Here is a 22,412-nt window from a genome sequence, read left to right as displayed (position 1 = left end):
TTTCTTAGTGAAAGCCAAGAGCGAGCACTCTCTCATAGAAGCCTTAGAAGAATGTTACCTTATTTTTCTAGAGAAGGCTACTTGAACCTTGAGTTATGCAGAATGGCTTCAATGAATGGATTTTAACATTGGTCAATGGCTAGTTTTCAAAGGCTACAATTTAAGATAAAACCCACGAAAGGGGATTAAAAGAAATTGTCAAGTTTCCAACCTTAAAATAATCTTGCAATATAAATATTTTCATTTCTTCAATTAGTATGCAAAATAGTATGGAGTTTCCTCAAAAAAAAAAAAAAAACAAACTAAAAATAGCCAGGTGTAGTGGCTCACGCCTGCAATCCCATCACTTTGGGAGGCCAAAGCAGGATGATCGCTTGAGCCCAGGAGATTGAGACCAGTCTGGGCAGCATGGCAAAACCTTGTCTCTACAAAAAATAGAAAAAATTGGCTGTGGTGGCATATGCCTGTAGTCCCACCTACTCTGGAGGCAGAGGTGGGAGAATAACTTGAGCCCGGGAGGTCAAGGCTGCAGTGAGCCATGTTCGCACCACTGTACTGCAGCCTGGGTGACACTGACCAGAGTGACACCCTGTCTCAAAAAAAAAAACAAAACCCAAAAACAAAACAAAACAAAAAAACCCTAAACTAGAAATAGAAATACCATATGGTCCAGCCATCCTACTACTTGTTATATATGCAAAGGAAATAAAATCAGTATATCAAAGAGGTATCTGCACTCCCATTTTCATGGCAGCATTATTCACAATAGCCAAGATATGGAGTCAATCTAATAGTCCAGCAATGGAATAATGGGTAAAGAAAATATGGTGTATACACACAATAGAATACTATTTAGCCTGTAAAAAGAAGGGAATCCTGTCATTTCAGACATGATGAACCTGAAGGGCATATGTCAACTGAAACAAGCCAGGCACAGGAAGACAAATACTGCATGATCTCACTTATACGTGAGGGGTAAAATGTTGAAGTCATAGAAATAGAGAGTAGAATGATGGTTACTAGGGGCTGAGATTGGGGAGGGGAATTGAAGAGATTAAAATATATTTTCATCCTCATATTACATAAAAGAAAATTTATGATCAAATTTCTCACTTGTGGCAGAACCAGTATTTGAACCCAGGCCAATCTGACTCATTTATATCACATCAACTACTCCCACTATCCCCATCATGCCATCAACCCACAGTGTCATAGGGATCCGGATGGAAGAGGAGGCAATCTTTTGCCAGAAGGTACTGTAAATAATTGAGGCTCAAAAGTTAATTAATTTGTCAAATGTATATTAAGATCTTACTATGTGTCAGGCACTGGGCTAGGACCTGGGAAAATAAAGGTAAGTTATTGCCTGCCTTGAAGGAGTTGTTGGTTTAAAAGTTTGGACTAGAAACATCAATCAATGATAATCTACAACTAATCAACAAGACAAAGGGCTTTTTCTATTTTAGGCTTACACACACACACACACGCACACGCACACTCATACATACATACCATTCAGGCTAAATCTTTGTGACACTTTTTCCTCTTTAAAGCCACACTTTGACTCACTGCAATCTGCATAAAGTAAAATTAATAAATGGGGAAAATGTTGTCCTCTCCTCCTTCCCCATCAGGGGTAGCTCAGAAAATGGTACCACCTAGATTTGAGAAAAGAAACCTGGACAATTCTAAAGAGTGGAGACTTAAACTTTTTTAATGTATTTGGTTTTTTTTTCAAAAATTCTATTCATTATAGAAAAAATGGAAGATATATAAAGAAAATATTACATCACAGCCTCTCACCCCATAAGACAACCAGTATTGACATCTTGCTATTTATTGTTACAAACTTTCTTAGGCACATGTGTATGAACACAGGATTGTATTCTAGATACTATTTTGTAACTTGTTTTTCTCATAGTACATCATAAACATCTTGTCATTCAGGTATTTATAAATATTATGTAAAATAAGTATATATATTCTACTGTTGACTATCATAATTTAGTTAATCAGTTGCTACTGTTGGACATTTTAGGCTATTTCCATATTGTCATTATAAATCATATTCCACTAAACATTCTTCTGCATTCATCTTTGTGTATTGATCTAATTATTTTATTTTTATCGATGCATAATAGATGCACATATTTTTGGAGTACATGTGACAATTTAATATGTTCATATAATTTGTATAGATCAAATCCAGGATATATTTCTAGACATAGAAGTGTTGGGTTAAAAACTAAGCAAGTGTTAAACAATTTTGCTTTCCAGCATGTTCTTACCTGTGGATGAAGAAGGGGTTCATCTTCCACACTTTCCTAACAAGCACTGGAGACTCTTAAGATTTCAGTGGAGTGACAGAATCCTTTAGGATGAAATGAGAAGCTTATTCCCAATTACCGATCCTTGATAGAATAGGTCCTGCTGCAGAGATGACACAAACAAATGGAAAAACATTCCATGATCATGGATAGGAAAATGAATATTGTTAAAGTGACTATACTCCCCAAAGCAATTTATAGATTCAATGGTATTCCATTAAACTACCATTGTTATTCTTCACAGAACTAGAAAAAGCTATTTTAAAATTCATATGGAACCAAAAAGAGCTGAATAGCCAAGGCAATACCAAGCAAAAAGAGCAAAGCTGGAAGCATCATGCTACCTGACTTCAAACTATACTACAGGGCTACAGTAATCAAAACAGCATGGTATTGGTACAAAAACAGACAATAGAGAACCCAGAAATAAGACTGCATACCTACAACTATCTGATCTTCGACAAGCCTAACAAAAGCCATGGGGAAAGGATTCCTGATTCAATAAATGGTGCTGGGATAACTGGTTAACTATGTGCAGAATATTGAAATTGGACCCCTTCATTATACCATATACAAAAATTAACTCAAGATGGATTAAAGACTTAAATGTAAAACCTAGAACTACAAAACCCTGGAAAACAACCTAGGCAATATCATTCAGGACATAGGCACAGGCAAAGATTTCATAACAAAGATGCCAAAAGCAATTGCAACAAAAGCAAAAATTGACAAATGGGATCTAATTAAACTAACAAGCTTCTGCACAGAAAAAGAAACTATCAACAGAATAAACAGACAACCTACAGAATGGGAGAAAATTTTTGAAAACTATGCATCTTACAAAGGTGTAATATTCAGCATCTATAAGGAACTTAAACAAATTTGCAAGAAATAAAAAACAAACAACCCCAGTAAAAAGTGGGCAAAGGACATGAACAGACACTTCAAAAGAAGACATACATGCAGCCAATAATCATGTGACGAAAAGCTCAACATCACTGATCATTAGAGAAATGAAATCAAAACCCCAATGAGATACCATCTCACACCAGTCAGAATGGCAAATACTTAAAAGTCAAAAAATAACAGATGCTGGTGAGGTTGTGGAGAAAAGGAACATCTATACACTGCTAGTGGGAGTGTAAATTAGTTCAACCATTGTGGAAGACAATGTGATGATTCCTCAAAGTCCTAAACAAAGAACTACCATTTGACCCAGCAATCCTGTTACTGAGTATATACCCAAAGGAATATAAATCATAACAAATAAAGACACATGCACATGTAGGTTCATTGCAGCACTATTCACAATAGCAAAGACATGGAATCAACCTAAATGCCTATCAATGATAGACTAGATAAAGAAAATGTGGTACATATACACCATGGAATACTATGCAGCCATTAAAAAGAATAAGATCATGTTCTTTACTGGACATGGATGGAGTGGGAGGTCATTATTCTTAGCAAACTAATGCCAGAAGAGAAAATCGAACACAGCATTCTCTCACTTATAAGTGGGGGCTAAATGATGAGAAGACATGGAAACATACAGGGGAACAACAGACACTGGGGCCTATTGTAGGGTGGAGGGTAGGAGGAGGGAGAAGATCCGGAAAAATAACTATTGGGCAGTAGGTTTAATGCCCAAGTGATGAAATAATTTGTACAACAAACTCCCATGACACAAGTTTACCTATATAACAAACCTGCACATGTGCCCTCAAGCTTAAAGTTAAAAAAAAAATAACAATTCATTTGGGCCTAAACTCAAAAATAAAAATAAAAATAAAAAAAGAATAAGTCCTGCTGCAAAAGCCAGGGCTCAGCAGGCTTGGAATAAAGGAATCACGGCCCAGAAGCAGGAGACTGGACTTCATGATCTGTTCACAGCCCTCTTGGTTGGAGGATTCTATGAATGGACTGATTTTGAGAGACCAACAGGTTTCCAGGAAGTCTTTCCCTCCCCCCGATCCTTTAATGGTAACAAAAACATGACAAATAAGATGATCTTGGCCAGTTTAAGCCCAAGGAAGCTATTTTTGCATCAGGAAGCAATAAATGATGCTGCATTTGGAAGCGCAGGTACAGTTCTTGATCCCTTGTTACAAAGGAGCATCACAGCCATAAATGGAGGGAAGTAAGCAGGTTGATTCACTGGCCCCAGGACACCAAAGGAGTCGATCTAAAGTTAGAGATGCTTGTTCTGGGTTACAAGAGGGAAATACTGCACGATTTCAAGCCCTCAAACCCGAGGATGTGGATGACAGAAGAGATAAGAGGTAACCTGCTTACTTCTGGAAAAGTCTACCGTCATGCTGACTCTGGCTCCTAGGGAAATAGTAGGTCAATGAGAAAACACTGCAGGTTCCAGGACCTCTGGCATTGAATTGTCCGTTCACTATTGTGAAAACCTAACTGTCGTCTTTTAAACTTTTACCTCTCACTAAGCACTTTGGACATATTTACTGATCTCCCCATGCTCTGTGCTGACCTTTGCCCTCTGTTTTAAAATGTGCTTACCCTGCCCTGTGTCTCAGCATCGTCCACTGGTAAAAAAAAAAAAAAAAACAAAAAAAAAACCCTCATGTTCTGGGGAATAAGGAAACCTAAGTTATACTTCTGACTGCCATTAAATTTTCTGTGCAAACGTAAGCCAGCCCTGTAACTTCTCTGTGCCTACCTTTCCCGAGGCACAGCGGAGGAGCTGTGACCTATATGGAAAGCCAAGAGCGCGGAGGAGTGACACATCTAGATTTGATTGGCAGAAGCCAGAATTGCCATCCCCCCTCCTCCCACCACTACCTCCCAAGTTCTCTGCTCCTTCTTTCAACCCAAGTGTGGAGCTCTTTTTCAGCAGAGCCAATGAGGAGGGAGTGGCCCCGCCTGCAAATGGGTGATGTTCGCTCTTGCCTCACTTTTCCTCTTAGAGTACCGGGCAGTGGGTACTCTTATAATCCCGATTTATAGAAGAAGAAACTGAGGCACAGAAAGGTGAAGATCCTGTAGCGGGTAGGGCTGGCATGGACGTTAAATGAGTCTTTATAAAGACTAGCTCTTGTTTACTACTTGCTGTCACTTCGATTTTTATCACCATGAGCTCCACGAGAAGGGATATTTAATGTACCTTGGGCTGCGCTTGACACTTAGAAAGGACGCAATAAATGCAAACTGCCTTTATTATTAGCATAGCTTGGGACTTGGATTGTTTGATACATGCGGTACATTTTTCTCACAAATGTGAAGTTCCAAGACGCCCCAAGTACTCTAGCCCCTCAGATAATTTCCTCCCAGACTCTTAGTCTCTGCGAAAGGCTTCTTCACCGCGGGTTTATCTCACTCTTTCCCATTATTTTTCCCCCTCCTCACTGTGCACCGCTTATCACGCTGCTTCATATCACTCTGCTTTACTCCTCGGCTTCTCCACTTCCCTCTATTATCTTCTCAGTGGCCCACAATGGCTTCCACTTAGCATACAGCCACTGCATCCTGGCTTCTTCTCCCCTGTGACTCTCTTCCCTTTGTCTCCATTCTCCTGAGTCTGATAGATGCGTTGTCTGAAGGTCAGGCGTTCCTCTTAGATACGCATTTTATCGCCTGCAGTTGGAAAACAATTATTGCTCTCCTCTACACACTTTTTCCCTTTACTGCTAACTTTTCTCTTTCTCTCCACAACTTTCTTTCCTAAAAATCACCAATAGTTTGTTTTCACCATTTTTTGTCCTAAATACCAACTTCATGCTAGTTTTTGCAGACTGCTTCAAGGCATGGGGGAATTGAAAATCTCTTTTAATTTTTTTTTCATATATCTTTGTCCTTTGGAAAATGCACATGTATTTCTGGCCTGGTCCCCTCCCCTTCTTTTGTGAACACAGCCTGGCAAAGAATTACTTTAATATTGTTGGGAATATCTTCCTGGCCTATCAATAAATCACTCCTGTGGCTTCTCAGCAACCAGTTTCTTCACAGACTTTGAGTGCCATTCATACTAGAAGCACTTCTTATTATTTATCTGAAACTTCTTAGAATTCCTCCCATTGTCTTGCTTTGCTTTACTTCTCAATGTTTCCCCTCCTACCTGCAAATGGAAATCCACATAGTCTAAGCTGTAACTGATGTTTAATGCTTTTTCTTCCTTACCTCTGATGACTTCCACATTCTTGACTTCCTCCCTGTACCCTCATCTCAGAAGGCACACTTTCTTAGTATTTGCACAGAGGATATGATGACCTGTGAGTTTCGGTAAGGGCTCAAAATGTCAGCTATGGCCATAGGTAATTCTCAATTATGTAGGTGCAAATTTTCTAGATGATCTATTAATCTCAGACTGGCCTTCTGTGATGTTTACCGAATAGTGCATCCACTCATTCATATTCTCAGCCCCCTTGCAGTTAGGTGGGCTCAGCTGAAAGGGTCGGGTCAATGTGCTGTGGGTAGAAGTGATGGGCCCCACTTCCAGACCAAAGCATACAAGAGTCAGGGCAATTCTCCAGCTGGCCCTTTAGCCGCCCCATGGCTGAGGGGGTCTCATGTTGAGATGGTGGCGCCCTAAGATTAAAAGTGCCTGATTTGCTCTGGACCCCTGCTTAGAAAGGAAAATAATCTGTTGTGTTAAGCCACTGGGTTTATTTGCAGCACATCATCCCATAGCTATTCTAACCTTCTGTGCTCCTGAACTGAGTTGCCTTTTATGGGTTAGCTTCAATATGTTCTGAAAACCTACATTCATTTTAATAATGTTTCATATAAGACATAAGTAGAAAAATATCATTTACTAAGACACACACATAATGTGTGCCAACCTCTCAGCTTAGGTAGATACATCAATAGATAGATACAGACATAGGCACACCAAAGCATCATGGATGGAAAAGATGATGAGAAAGGTTGCAGTATTCTTAGATGCTTAAGCAATTGAAATTTTTTTATTACTTAGTTGAACAAGAGGAGAAAGACAGAGGATTCCCCACAGGTGAGACATAGATTGCAGAATTAGAGACATGTTTGTCTTCTGAAAGCCAACAACACCATCAGGAAAGAGAAATTCCATTCTTAAGGAACATAGTCATAACATCCAAAGGGAGATACCTCTTTTTTATGACAGTTAGTGCCATCTGCCTTTTGAAAATTATATTTAAAACAACAGGCCTGGCATGGTAGTTTATGCCCATAATCCTAGCACTTTGTGAGGCCAAGGAAGGAGGGTTGTTTGGGGTCAGAAATTCAAGACCAACCTGGGCAACCCCTCTCTCCAGAAAAATTAAAAATTAGCCAGATGTAGTAGCGTGCACCTGTAGTCCCAGATGTGCCCAGGCTGAGGCTGAGAAGATCGCCTGAGCCCAGGAGGTCAAAGCTTGCAGTGAGCTATAATTGTGTCACTGTACTCCAGCCTGGGTGACAGAACAAGACACTGTCTCTAAAATAATAAAAATAAGAAAGAACAATTATGGAGAAAACTTTGACAAAAGCTACAGATAGTTTGTGTCAATGGAGTAGAAAATATGGAGGAGTATATAAATGATGTTTAAAACACGAAAAGCAATATCATGAAAGAAAAAATGATCCGTTCCAATTTAAAATTAAAATTGTAACACAATAAAGTAAAAGAGTGAGTCACAAATTGGGAAAACATATTTGCCAGCACTCAGCAAGGGATTAGTGTTCAGAATATGTAAAGAACCCTTTAAAATAAGGAAAAGAACAAAACAGTAAAAGAATGAACAAAGGATATGAACTACAGACCCTTGGTTATGAAAAACAAATGATTAAAATCATGTGAAATATGTTCAACCTTTCTGACTGAACAGGGTTCGATTTTTTCTGGTTGAGCAGGGTTATCCACCAGTGTGGGATTTTTAGTTAACTTCCAGTCTTCATACTTAGCAAAAGAGGATACTGTCCCCAAAGCAAAGATTTACTTTGAAACCAACGAGTAAAGGGCTCTGGATTTCTGTGGTTGAAGCAGTACCCACAGCAGGAAGGCAAGAGGGAGGCCACGCCACAGGACACTGACCAAGAGTCCCCGAAGAGAGCCCGGAATGCCTTTGAGAAAGCAAATGTCTGAAACAAGGGCTTCTCTTGTCCTGGGCATCTGCTGGCTGCCGAGCGGCCTGAGAGCACGGGGAGGATGTGTGTGTTAAGGCTCACTGCAACAGATGCCCACAAGAAGACTTCATTGTAATTGAGAAAGCCAGTGAAAACTTCCTGGAAACTGTTGTAAAATATTTCATGCTGCTGTCAAAGAATGTGTTGCTGGGCTCGTGCCCAGTGTTTTCCTCACCACCGTGGACAGACTGCAGTAGTGCATGCCTCGTATCCAAGTAATGAGTTACAATTGTTGGGAAAATTTATGTTGAGAAATTTTGCATGTTTTAATGTTGGCAGTCGCTTGTTGGAAATAAGATTTATTAGTCCTCTGGTAAGACGTTAAGCTGGCAGCTTTAGTAAAAGACAAAAAAGTGTTAGAAAGTCAATGAACATCAACTTTCAACTCCAGCTGTAACAGTGACCTGCCCTTCTCTAGACAGCTCAGCGTGGTGCCAAGAGTGGCTAAGACTCTGGTCCATCAGATGGATTTTAGGCAAGTTACATGACCTCTCTAAGCCTCAGTTTCTTTGACTATAAATGTGAAAAGAGATAGCACTCTTTGGACTGTTGGGAGGATGCATAAGAGCAGGCACAGCACAGTGCCTGACGTAATCAGACAGCAACAAATGTAAGTACTTGTTAGTAATGAGATTAATGGAGTCGTCAAATTTTCCTTTTGTTTATTATTATTTTTTTAGAGATGGTGTCTTGCTGTGTTACCCAGGCTGGTCTTGAAAACTCCTGGCCTCAAGTGATCTTCCCACCTTCATGTCCCAAAGCACTAGAATTACAAGCACGAGCCACTATACCTGGCTCAAACTGTCAGGCTTTTGTTCATGAGGATAACTGTGTGCCCATCTCCTAGGCTGTCGGGTGAATGCCTTGGAGTGTTTCTCCACCATGGCCCTTGTTTGCTGCCAGCCAGCCACGGTCTTACTCATAGAGCCCCTTGTGATCTCAGGTTTGTATTGGCGAGACAAGTGACCAGGATAGGGAGGGAAAAGAGCACACATTTGTGGCTTTAAACAAAGCAGAGTTAAGAAAGCTACAAAAGGCTGGGCGCAGTGGCTCACACCTGTAATCTCAACACTTTGGGAGGCCAAGACGGGTGGATCACCTGAGGTCAGGAGTTTGAGACCAGCCTGGCCAACATAGTGAAACTCCGTCTCCACTGAAAATTTGCCGGGTGCAGTGGCACATGCCTATAATCCCAGCTACTTGAGAGGCTGAGGCAGGAGGATCACTTCAACCCAGGAGGCAGAGGTTGCAGTGAGCTGAGATCACACCACTGCACTCCAGCCTGGGCGACTGAGCAAGACTTCATCTCAAAACAAATAAAAAAATGAAAAAGAAATCCACAGAGGAAGGATTTCTGCTCTCATGCTCCTACTGCATCCTGCTTCTGCTCCTCAGTGCACTCCCTTCATGGGCAATTTCACTCATTCCTGCCTGAAGGTTGGGGATGAGTTAGATGACACTGTCCCCCCCAACCCCCCAACCACCCCCATACTTTAACTTCCTCCATAGGCTTTATTATTATTTGACATGTCATATATGTTTTCTTATTCATTCCATTTACTGTCTCTCTCTCTGCACCAGAATATCACCTCCACAGAGATGTGGATTTGTGTCTGTTGTGTTCAGTGATGTATCCCCAGCATCTGAGCAGGGCCTGGTGCAATTGGGTGCTCAATTTATCTTGGTAAATGAATTGAATAAAATTCCATTGAGTGAAATTTGACTTTGCCCAAAGTCACTTTTATGGACTGAATTATATCTCCCCAAATTCATAGGTTGGAGTCCTAACAGCTAGTACCTCAGAATCTGACTATACTTAGAGATAGGGTCCTTAAGTAGGTAACTAAGGTAAAATGAGGTCACATGGGTGGGTCCAAATCCAGTAAGCTTGGTGTACTTACAAGAAGAAGAGATTAGGAAACACCCATATACCACAGGGAGACCGTTGGAAGATAGAGCAAGAAGGCAGCCAGCTGAAAGCCAAGAAAAGAGGCCTCAAAAGAAACCCTGCTGACACCTTGATCTCAGACTCCCAGCCTCCAGAACCGCAGGAAATACAGTTGCATTGTTCAAGCCACCCTGTCTGTGATGCTTTGTTATGGCAGCCCTAGCAAACAAATACAGTCACTGAGCAAGATTCCTATCTCAGAACAAAGGTCTGAATTTCATTAGTTTGAAGCACTAATTCTTTAATAGTCCACCTCTGGAAACAGAGAATACTCCCTTTTTTCTTTCAGATGGAGTTCCACTCTTGTTGCCCAGGCTGGAGTGCAATGGCGGGATCTCGGCTCACTGCAATCTCTGCCTCCCAGGTTCAAGCAATTCTCCTGACTCAGCCTCCTGAGTAGCTGGGACTACAGGCACCTGCCACCATGCCTGGCTAATTTTTTGTATTTTTAGTAGAGATGGGGTTTCACTATCGTGGCCAGGCTGATCTCGAACTCCTGACCTCAGGTGATCCACCAACCTCGGCCTCCCAAAGTGCTGGGATTACTGGCATGAGCCACCTTGCCCGGCCAGAATACTCCCTTAAAAAGCAGAGCAAATCCCCATGGAGTTCAGGGACTGGAAAGAGTTTTCAGAGGACCTAGTCATAACTCTTCTCTTTCTTTACTCGAAATGGCAGAGTCCACAGTCGGACTCCTCTGCGGAGTCCCACTCTCCTCTGGGCAGGCAGGACAGACACCTCTCATAGCTGCTCCAGTCCCCTGAAAAGTCCTCATGTGGCATTGCTGATTACACGGATGGTGTCCCTTGTTCACTCTGGGTCTCCCTCCACTGGGGAAGGGAGATGGCCATCATCTAGCAGGAACAATGTGATTTAAAGACTTGAAACAAGTACAAACACAAATACACCCAAGACAGGGTCTGGTAATCCTCATTCTAAACTGTAGGCTAAAAGATGCCATAGTAATTCAGAGAAGAGAGGAGAGTCTGAGGGCTGGAGTGGAGGGGAAGGCAGGCCAGGGACAGAGCCTCCTGTAATTGTAATATTGGGACGTGTAACTGTATTGTAACATCACAGTATCAGGACCAATAATGGAGGGAAGGTAGGGTAGAGAATTCCAAACCCAGAGAATAGCATAAATCAATGTCCAGAGGAAAGTTTGGGTACTGGAGGAGTTTGTCATGTTTCAGCAAAGATTTGAGACATGACAAGACCAGTCACCTTGCCCCTACTAGATTCCTGGAGGAAATGAGCAAAGCATGAGATCTGGGTTCTGGTCTTTTGCCCAAACCCTCATGTAGCCTTCTGGTGAGTTAGAGGGTACCACTATGGAGCTGCCTTTTTCTGCCTGGAGTACATGCAGACTCCAGGCCCAGCATACTAGCTCCACATCTGAATCCTGGCCCTCAAGATCTGACCTCTTGGCAGCATGCACAGAAAATCCAGAAGAGACGGAGTGGGCACGGAGGGGAGAAGCTTTTCTCAGTAGAGGAAAGCTAATGAAGTAATGGAAGCTATTGAATCACCCAGGCTAAGTGTTTCTAGGCAGGGTACAGTCTCAGGTCTGCCTTTCAACACCAGTTGTGTATGAAGGGGGCAGGGGCAGGGAGGAAGGAGAGATAGAGAGAGACATAAAAAGAGAGAGATTGAGAATTCCAACACATACCATGGATTTAGAAGCAAACTAACAATGTCCTTGGACCTCTTCCAGCTATATGAGAACTCTCTTGGGTGGGTGTGCAGTGGTAGGATAGAAGGCAGGCAGAGATTTTAAGATGCCCTGAGCTATGGCAGCAGTTTTGGGGCTGGTCTCAGAGCAGAAGAGGCATGTGAGTGATGACATGGTATATTAGTCTGTTTTCATGCTTCTGATAAAGACATACCTGAGACTGGACAACTTATAAAGAAAATGAGGTTTAATGGACTCACAGTTCCACATTACTGGGGAGGCCTCCCAATCACAGTGGAAGGCAAAAGACACGTCCTACATGGTGGCAGGCAAGAGATAAAAGGACAGCCAAACAAAAGGGGTTTCCCCTTATAAAACCATCAGATTCTGTGAGATTTATTCACTACCACGAGAACGGTATGGGGGAAACCACCGCCATGATTCAATCATCTCCCACTGGGTCCCTCCCACAACACATGGGAATTATGGGAGCTATAATTCAAGGTGAGATTTGGGTGGGGACACAACCAAACCACATCACATGCTGAAGAAGAAGGGGACACAGCAGGCTGAGTCAAGTTTTACAATTTGCCTCTAATACCCATGACTAAGCTTCACCTTCAGTGCCTGTCACCTTCCCTCTTTTCCCTGGACAAGCACAGGTCTAGAAAAGCAGGCAGAAGCTGAGATAGGGATTGACTTTTTAATCTGTGGATTTCCATTATCTACACTTTCCTTTGCCCCACTACCATGGATAAAACATTATTACCGTTATGAGGACCTGCTCAAGTACTTCTTCAATAGTTTCATAGAATTTTCTCCCCTGAAACCAGAATGTTAAATTAACTCTTTACATATATACTTTTAACTCATTTACATGTATACTTTGGAGCTGCATTGGGAGATCTACCTGTGCTTTGATGCATTATATTCTCTTTCACAGTGATGGCAATGAGGCTCAAGGAGGTCTTCTCAGTTGCATAAGATTATACAGTAATGTCACATGGTGTCAAAACACAAGATGTGTGGGTAAGCAGTAGTTTCTTCATTTTTCTTTTGCAAAAGTGTTCTGAAGAATAAGCAGGTACAACTACAAATGAAAAATAAAGGCATAATAGCCCTTAGCCTGAAATGACTATGGGCTATGGGTCACCATCTCTAAGAACCTATCTCTAAATTCTCTGTACCTAAAACAAGTTCTCCTGACATTTTTTATTCTTTGGGTCACCATCTGTAGGAACCCTATCTATCTCTAAATCCTCTACCTATAATGAGTTCTCCTGGCATTTTGATTTTTATCGCTGTGCTGGACAGCACATGAATGAATTTATTTGAATGTATTTGAGTTGCTTCCTTCTTTCTAGCTGCAAGATATGTGTTAGAATTCCAATCAAGAACCTTTGGAACGTTGTACAAATCCCCTTAAGCCAGTTTTTCCAATGTCAAGAAAAATTTGTGAAGAGCCTCCAGGCGATCCTCTGTTGAGTGCGTCAATTCTAATGATAGATGTTGTTACTAGTCCTTAAACACTCCCAGACCTCTCTTAATTGACTGGATTTGGCTCAGGTCCAAGAATCAGCTCCTTGGTAGTCTCTCACCACATACACTGTTCAATATAGTGGAAGAAAGCTGGTGATTTCATGTGACTTTGAGCCCCATGCTCCCTCCTCACCACGACTTTGATCCACCCTGAGGATCATATAGGAAATATGATCCCTCTGTATTTCTTTTTTGATCTATTGAACGTCAAATCCTCATGCCACCTTTTTACTAAAAGTGTGGGGAAAGAGGAAGGCAGGAAGAGCAGGCAGAAAGGAAAGGGGGAATGACTGAGTGGGAAGAAAGGTAAAGAAATGGAAGATAATGAAATAGGATAGAATAGAAAATATCAGAGTATATCACGTAAAGTAGGCACAAATATCTGGTCTAGCTAATACTCTCCTCTTGCCAACCCTCTCCTCCCTATCACCAACATTAATTCATCATCCTGCTCTTGACCGGGATACCACCTTCCACGTACTGTATGACACCTGGGCACCCTTGCCACCATGCCACTGCCCCCGCTTCTGGTTTGGCTTGGCCAATGGGGATCACTGGCAGTAGGTCCTCAGGGACAGAGACCACATCCTTCCATGCCTGCAGCTTGGTCACATGGTCCCCTTCCATGCTCCAGAGCTTCCTGGACGTATCATTTACTTCCTCTTTTTGCCTCTTCATGTTCAAGAGATGTTTAAAAAAAACGAACTAAGAAATGTTAATAAAATGTAAATATTATTTCCAGAAACTTTTGCTTCAGTGTTTTATATATATGCACATGCACACATATCAGGTCACAATGTAACACATACCCCTTATTGTGTTATTGTGTGTCACAGTAAAAAATCAGTTTAAAGTCACTGTTCTAAATGGCGGGCATCGGCCTTACTGTTGGTTTCCCCTCCACTTAGCACTTTGAGAGTACATGACCCTCTGATACTCACCCTTGTACTCCGGTTCCTCACATGATGTCAAATAGTAGGCACTCATTAAATGAATAAAATAAATAACTATATTGAATAATATAAGAAATCACACGTTTCATTGTTGAATTGAATTGTTCTTAATCCCTAGTGATTTCTGAGCTCCTTGGACTTGGCTCCTGCCAGTTTACTCATGTTGGTTTGGAAGTAGGCACTGCTTTCTTATAATTTCTCATTTGTTCAGCCAACAACCTTAAACAATGGCCCATGGCACAGGCCTCTGTTAACTTCAGAGGCATGAACAAACATCTCTGCCCCTCAGGTGTTTGCTCCAATTTTGTTTTCTCTACAAGTCAGGGATTTCTTTGAAGGCGGGGCTGCTTCTTTGCTTTCTCTTCTTCTCTCCACTGTCTTGTCACTCAAAGTGCAGTCAACGCACCAGCAGCCTGAGAATCAGCTGGTTGCTTATTATAGGAGCAGAATCTCAGGTCCCACCCCAGAACTATAGGATCCAAATCTGCGTTGTTAACCAGCTCTCCAGATGATTCACATGCAAGTGCAAATCAGAGAAGCACCTCCTCCCCCAAAGCCCAGCCAGTGCTGGATGAGAACAAGCCGTTCAAGAAACAGAGGTTGATGGGGCAGCTTTTGAGACTGGAGAAGACAGTTACCAGCAGATGGTGTGGAAGGAACAATGTTCCTTGGGCCTTAGTCTCCCCTTTGGAAAAATGGAGAAAACAGCCATTGCCTCCCAACGACCAGTGTCTCTTTCATTCTGTCAGCCATTTATGGCAATAAACATGCAGACTTCAAAAGGTCCCTGAGAGGCTACCATGTATTCCATAATACAGAGCTTTCAAAGCCTCAGAGAGGGTGTTACATATCCAGGAAGGACCCAGACCAGTCTGGAAAAGGGTGAATAACTCAACCTCATAGGGCTCAGTTTTCTCATCTGTAAAGGAGGATAATAATGTCTATCCCAATACTTGTTATGAAGATCAAATAAAGCCCCAGCTGTGAAGAGGTGGGCGAGCCCCAGCCTCATTATCTGGGCAGTCACAGCTGCTGGGCTTTGTGGGGCTAAAGCAGTTCTACCTTTCTGCCACAAGTACCTGCTGGTGCAACAAAGGGTTTCCAAAGGCCTTTACAAAAGTCTAAAGTGTGTGTTAAATAGAGAAATAGGTAATTAAGCTCATTAGCAAAAAATAATTTGCTCAGCTTGTTGAAGGTCAGTGGCTCTGGGCTGCATGTGGAGCACAAGAGGCAATGGAGAAAGAGCTGGAATCAGAATAGACAGATGATGCCTCCGTGGCCTCTCTTTTTCCCTTTTCATATGCATCACAGAGGGGCTGGCAATGGTGAAAAGACGGCAGAGTAGGGATCTGCTGTGAGAAATAATGGTGGATGAGTAGGGTCTCTGGGAAATCCATCTGTATGACCATTGACCTAAGGAAAGAGGGTCTCTGAAGCTCTGGGAAGAGGCTCACACCCAGGCAGAATCTGGTCTACAAACTCTGTTTGTTCAGATACTGGCCTGAGAAAACATCTCTCTCTAAAATATACTCATCATTCTATTCCATAAATATTTATTGAGTGCTTGCTGTTAGCCATGCATCACCTGTCAGAAAATACCATGCAGAAATAAACACACTTTCTGCCTTCAAGTAGCATATTTGATGACATCAATCCCTCTCTTAAAGCCTTCAATGGCTGCCATGACTCAGAAGATGAAGTCTAAACTCCTTTGCTTGACCATTCAAACTTTGGCCCCAGTCTTCTACGTTTCTAGTTTCTTTTCTGGCCAACACCACCCCTGCCATCCCTCTCATATAAACTCAACGCTTTAGCCAACTAATGTACTTTCCAATCCATCAGCTCAGTATGCTCTTTGAGGTCTCATTAACTGCACACATGTTCTTCCCTCTGTCTCAAGTTACTTTTTTCCTTCTTGTTTGCCTTGTCAACTTTTATTTATCCTTCAAAGTCCATCACAGAATTTACCCCTGCTGTGTAATGCCCTTGAAGCCCTTGAGCAATGATAATCATGTTCTCTCCTGTGTTTCTGCAGTGCACACCATGTGGTTCCATTATGCGATTTATCTTTCTGTTTCCTTGCATCAATCACCACTGGACTGTAAGTTCCTTGAGGGCAGGGCTATGCCTTTTTCATTTTCATATCAACAGCAGGACCCAAGCCTCTGAATCTAGTGCCCTATTCATTTTGCCATGCTGCTAGCTGGCCAGCCTCACATGGCTTCCTCAAGCCTGTAGCAAACATCAGGAAAAAAAGATTTGGAATCAGCGCAGAATTTCTTAAACCTTCTTCCCAACCTTCTGATTCTGAGCCTATAAATTTTGGGTTTTCTCTTATCTCTGCCATAATTAGCTCATCTTGGGAAAATGAATAAATCTTTCTAGTTTGCATCGGTTTTCTCATAAGTTAAATAAACATAAACAAACTTCCCCAAGTATTTTTCATAGGGATGTTATAAATATTAGCCAGACGTTTAATAAGCATCTGTTAACACCTATTATGTAAAACCCAGTGTAAAATTTTATCCAAAGGAAAGAAAGATGAAAAAGACATAGTCACTGCTCCCAAGTAATTTATCATCAAATAGATAGGAAACTATATATATACCCAAATTAAATAGTAAAATATAGAATGTACTAAGAATCATAAGAGAAGTACAAATTATGAGCTGTAGAAGTGTGAAGAAGGGAATTATATAAATATTGTTTACATCTTTTGTTATATTTTAGAAAGCAAGATTTTTTCCCCCTGAAACTAAAATTATGTCAAAGTATTTTGCAATAAGATTCTGCTCAAGAATATGAAATACTTTATTCACAGGAGGCCTGAGATTGTTGAAGGAGATTGTCTACCTCCCAAGAATACCAAGAGGAAAGGGGATCAGTTAAGAGCATTTACTGGGCTGAGTTTCCAGGAGACTGAATGTTCTGGAGCAAGTTGTCTTTAGGGGCATCAGAAAAGCTTCTCTCAGAATTAGGCAGGGAGCCCCAGGATGCCTCGTCCACAGAGGCCAGCTGTGGTCCTCAGCACCATCCAAGTGGGTGCTCAAACCATAGCCATGGCACCAGAGTAGAAAGCCTTCCCTGTGGGCACCTCCCACCCCAACACACACACACAGAGCATCCACATTTGAGAAACTCCTATTTAAATAAACTGAATAGACTTTTATATTATAGAATTTCTTGGATTCTTTGATATAGTGATGTGTTTTAGAAATTTTGAAGAGAAAATAAGCATTTCCCAAACTTGCTAGACTATAAATTTTTATATTTTTCCAAAGCATTTCATGGAGCTTATGTTGCACAAAATATTTTAGAAAATGCTGAATTTAAAAAAAAATTAAAACTTACCAGTTAAATCTCATGTACGTTTGCATATTTAAAAGCATTCAAATCTTGAGAGGGGCATTTGGAGACAATGGACCCTCCCTGCCTGTATCTTACTGATTCATAGGAGGAAAGAGGAAAAGGGCTCACAGGGAGAATGAATGGCTGATTTCTAAATCTCAAATGTCTTTCCTGGCTTTATTATATTTTTCCCTCTTACAAATGCCAATAATGATGAAAACAGATGATGGACTAATCTGATCCAATTGCATTACTGGGATCCAGGCTGGTTTTGAACAATTTGAGAAAAACACACACTGCCCAGACTTTACCTCTTCAGGAAAGATGTCTTTGTTTTTAAAGCTCTCTGTGAATTTTCAGACAGCTAAGATATGAACCATGAATGTCAACTAGAATTCTCTGGGGATCCAGTTCTTATCTCATTCTGTTGCTTCTCACTTACTTGGAAGACCTGAACCAAATGCAAGGTTTGAATGTGCTATGCATTTGGACACATCAGTCAAGGATATCTTAGAAATTCACTATATCCCCATTCAACTGACATATATAGAGAACCATCTATGACTCAGCATTGCTCCAGAGGGACAGAAAGATGGTCTTACCCGCTATGAAGATAGGCAGATATACAAGTGCACAGTCAGCTAGCTATGTTAAGAGCTCAGATCTGCCTCTGATTCCCTGCAACATCAGAGATTTGCCATCCTTATAAAAACAAAAAATTAGCTTGTGACCCTTTTATAACATGTATAGCCACTTTTGTGAGCCACCACACATCCTGCTTCCGACTTCTTTACAATTGTCCATGCCTCTCACCCACTGGCCTGTCTTCCCTTTCTCAGTCCTGCCTTACTGCCTAGACCTAAATAAGAATCTCAGCAAACCAGCTCTGGCTCTTTGCTTCTCTTAGTCACAATCTGAACCATCCCTCTGGTTCTGCTGTTCTCTCACCTGTACTTCCTGCACCTGCTGACTTTGATTGGCCCCTCTATGCACCCTCTTGCCCTCCTGCTCCTACCCTACAGAGAATCCTGGGGATTGATGGCCGTCCCTCCCACCATACAGAGCTGCAGTTAGCCCTAATTGTGAGGGTTGATTGGCAAACAGCCTGTGAATGGCTGCACTGTTGGCCTCCTCCACCCCCACCAGCGGCAGCAACGTTTATCTGCAGGTTGAATGGAGGAATACAGGAAATACACTCCAAAGAAATCAAGCCAATCTGCCTAGAAGAGCCTAGAGTTCCCAGGGTGGAAGTTGATGCCCAAGAATAGGGCCCTCCTTGTTTTGGCATTGGTCAGAGGACGGATTCAAATTTCTGAGAGAAATTGTTTGAGCCTAACTTCCACACAGTTCACAATACAGCCTTAAGGGAAGCCCACAATATGTGATGCCCTGCACGCCAGCCCAGAGCTGGCCATCAGGGCTCTCAGGACAGAGAAAGGTCAGAAATGACAGACGAAAGCCATTTATTTTAATCAATTGAATCCTTCACTCCTACGTATAAACGAACAACCAAGGATAAATAGACATTGAGAAAAATAAGCAGCATAAAAGGGAAAGATAATCTACTGGTATGAAAATGACTATTTGAATGAGCATTTTCTCCTTCTTCTTGGAAATCATCCCAAAACTTTAAAATCCCACAAATTACATTTTTGGTGAGGATAACAATAACAACAAGTGCTAACATCTATATAACATTAGCGTGCCAAATACTGTTTCTGGAAATTTGCACACATTAAGTCAGTTGGCCTACACTATGTGGTAGAAACAACTACAATATCTATTTTTCTGGTGACATTATTGAGGCACAAGAAATTAAGTAATTTACATAAGGTCACAGAGATAACGAATTGAGAGGTAGGTCTAAAACTAGGATAGTTTGATTATAAAGTTCAAAGTCTTAACCACTATACACTGTTATCATCTGCCAAGGCAGACAGAGTATGCATATTCTAAAATATGTGTAAAGTCTAGTCAAAGCAGATTAAATCAGGCAGAAGATAAAGTTAAAACAAAGAAATGAAGAGAAGGATGATAGGACTCAGGAAGGGCATATCTCAGAAAGCACCAATGAAATTATACTTGTGGAAAGTAAGGAGTGCATGCTGAAATGCAAAATATGTCTGTAATTTGCAATAATTAGTAAGGGTTCTAAGGTAAACAGTTCTGGTGACAGACAACCTTCTGCATCTGCTTGGTTCAGAGATGCAGAGGAGGCTGGGAAAGAAAAAAATTCTCACATAAAACATACATTTTCAAGAAGTAATCTGTGTCTGTGGCAGCAGGGAAAACTTTAGAAAAACTTTGTGTAAAACAGCTAGTTTGGGTGGCTTGCATACATTTACATACCCTACCCACCCACAGGGACCTAATTCTGTCCTAGGAGAATGCAACTTATGAAAAGATAGTAATTAAACAGGAATTGTCAAAGCATTAAACAAGTATCCAAGAATGACAGCATTTACTAATGTTGATAAGCAATGAACAATACTTACTAAAAAAAGTACTGCTATGAGACAGACAAAAGTTGTGAATAAATATTTCTCCAAGAATTAAAAATGATTAATGAAGCCATTGCCTCTGTGAAGCGAGATCACAAAGCAGAAGTATAAAAATTCAGGGAGAAAAAGTGATAGGGCAACAGGAAGAGATAAAATATGAGCTGGCCGAACTCAGGGAAAAAACATTAATTTGGACGATATGAAACTTTTATACATCAAAAATGGCCAAATATTGGCTATTTCATTTGGTTCATTTCCTATAATTTATCTCCCTCAATAATAGAAGAAAAATACAAAATAAAACCAAAACATCATAGAAACAAAAATAAAATTGGAAGGAGCATCAGAAATTTTCTAGAGGAGGGGTGGACCAAGATAGCAGAATAGAAGTCTCCACTGATCTGGGCCCACCCCCACCACAAGAACAACAATTTAACAACTATCTATTTTTAAAAAGTGCCTTTACAGTAACCAAAAACCGATTCCCAGGCAAGATGGCAGAATAGGAACAGCTCCAGTCTGCAGCTCCCAGCGAGACCAATGCAGAAGGCAGGTGATTTCTGCATCTCCAATGAGTTACCTGGCTTACCTCATTGGGACTGGTTAGACAGTGGGTACAGCCCACAGAGGGTGAGCCAAAGTAGGGTGGGGTATTGCCTCACCAGGGAAGTTGAAGAGATCGGGGAACTCCCTCCCCAAGCCCAGGGAAGCTGTGAGGGATCCTGCAGTGAGGGACGGTGGTATCCGGCCCAGATACTATGCTTTTCCCACAGTCTTCACAACTGCAGACCAGGAGATTCCCTCAAGTGCCTACACCACCAGGGCCCTGGGTTTCCAACATAAAACTGGGCTGCCATTTGGGCAGACACCAAGCTAGCTGCAGGAGTTTTTTTCATATCCCAGTGGTGCCTGGAACGCAAGCAAGACAGAACCGTTGACTCCCCTGGAAAGGGGGCTGAAGCCAGGGAGCCAAGTGGTCTAGCTCAGTGGATCCCACCCCCATGGAGCCCAGCAAGCTAAGATCCACTGGCTTAAAATTCTTGCTGCCAGCACAGCAGTCTGAAGTTGACCTGGGACACTTGAGCTTGGTGAGGGGAGGGGCATCTGCCATTGCTGAGGGTTGAGTAGGTGGTTTTCCCCTCACAGTGTAAACAAAGCTGCCAGGAAGTTCAGACTGGGTGGAGCCCACTCTAGCACCCCAAAGCCACTGTAGCCAGACTGCCTCTATAAACTCCTCCTCTCTGGGCAGGGCATCTCTGAAAGAAAGGCAGCAGCCCCAGTCAGAGGCTTATAGATAAAACTCCCATCTTCCTGGGACAAAGCACCTGGGGGAAGGGGTGGCTGTGGGCGCAGTTTCAGTACACGTAAACGTTCCTGCCTGCTTGCTCTGAAGAGAGCAGTGGATGTACCGGCACAGCGCTTGAGCTCTGCTAAGGAACAGACTGCTTCCTTAAGTGGGTCCCTGACCCCTGTGCCTCCTGACAGGGAGACACCTCCCATCAGGGGTCAACAGACACCTCATACAGGACAGCTCTGGCTGGCATCTGAGGGGTGCCCTTCGGGGACGAAGCTTCCTGAGGAAGGAGCAGGCAGCAATCTTTGCTGTTCTGCAGCCTCCACTGGTGATACCCAGGCAAACAGGATATGGAGTGGACCTCCAGAAAACACCAGCAGACCTGCAGAAGTGGGGCCTGACTGCTAGAAGGAAAACTAACAAACAGAAAGCAACAGCATCAACACCAACAAAAAGGACGACCATGCAAAAACTCCATCTGAAGGGCACCAACAGCAAAGACCAAAGGTAGATAAATCCATGAAGATGAGGAAAAACCAGCACAAAAAGGGTGAAAATTTCAAAAACCAGAATGCCTCTTCTCCTCCAAAGGATCACAACTCCTTGCCAGCAAGGAAAAAAAACTGGATGGAGAATCAGTTTAATGAATTGACAGAAGTAGCCTTCAGGAGGTGAGTAATAACAAACTCCTCTGAGCTTAAGGAGCATGTTTTAACCCAATGCAAGAA

The 22,412-nt window shown here is 42.0% G+C and overlaps 1 protein-coding gene across 1 annotated transcript in view; it reads right to left on the bottom strand.

Moving 5' to 3' along the window:
* The window catches only part of RPS6KC1 (ribosomal protein S6 kinase C1), an 811,495-nt gene that overhangs the window by 128,889 nt on the left and 660,194 nt on the right, over positions 1-22,412 (bottom strand). The window contains exon 18 of the transcript XR_007058661.1: positions 2,289-2,430. The gene's annotated coding sequence lies outside the window, so the exon portion shown is untranslated. The remainder of the gene's footprint in view (positions 1-2,288; positions 2,431-22,412) is intronic.

Source organism: Homo sapiens, chromosome 1 (genome assembly GCF_000001405.40).
Source record: "Homo sapiens chromosome 1, GRCh38.p14 Primary Assembly".
NCBI classification, from domain to species: domain Eukaryota; kingdom Metazoa; phylum Chordata; class Mammalia; order Primates; family Hominidae; genus Homo; species Homo sapiens.
The sequence above is the reverse complement of the archived record's forward strand: the minus strand, read 5'-3'. Positions and strand labels throughout refer to the sequence as shown.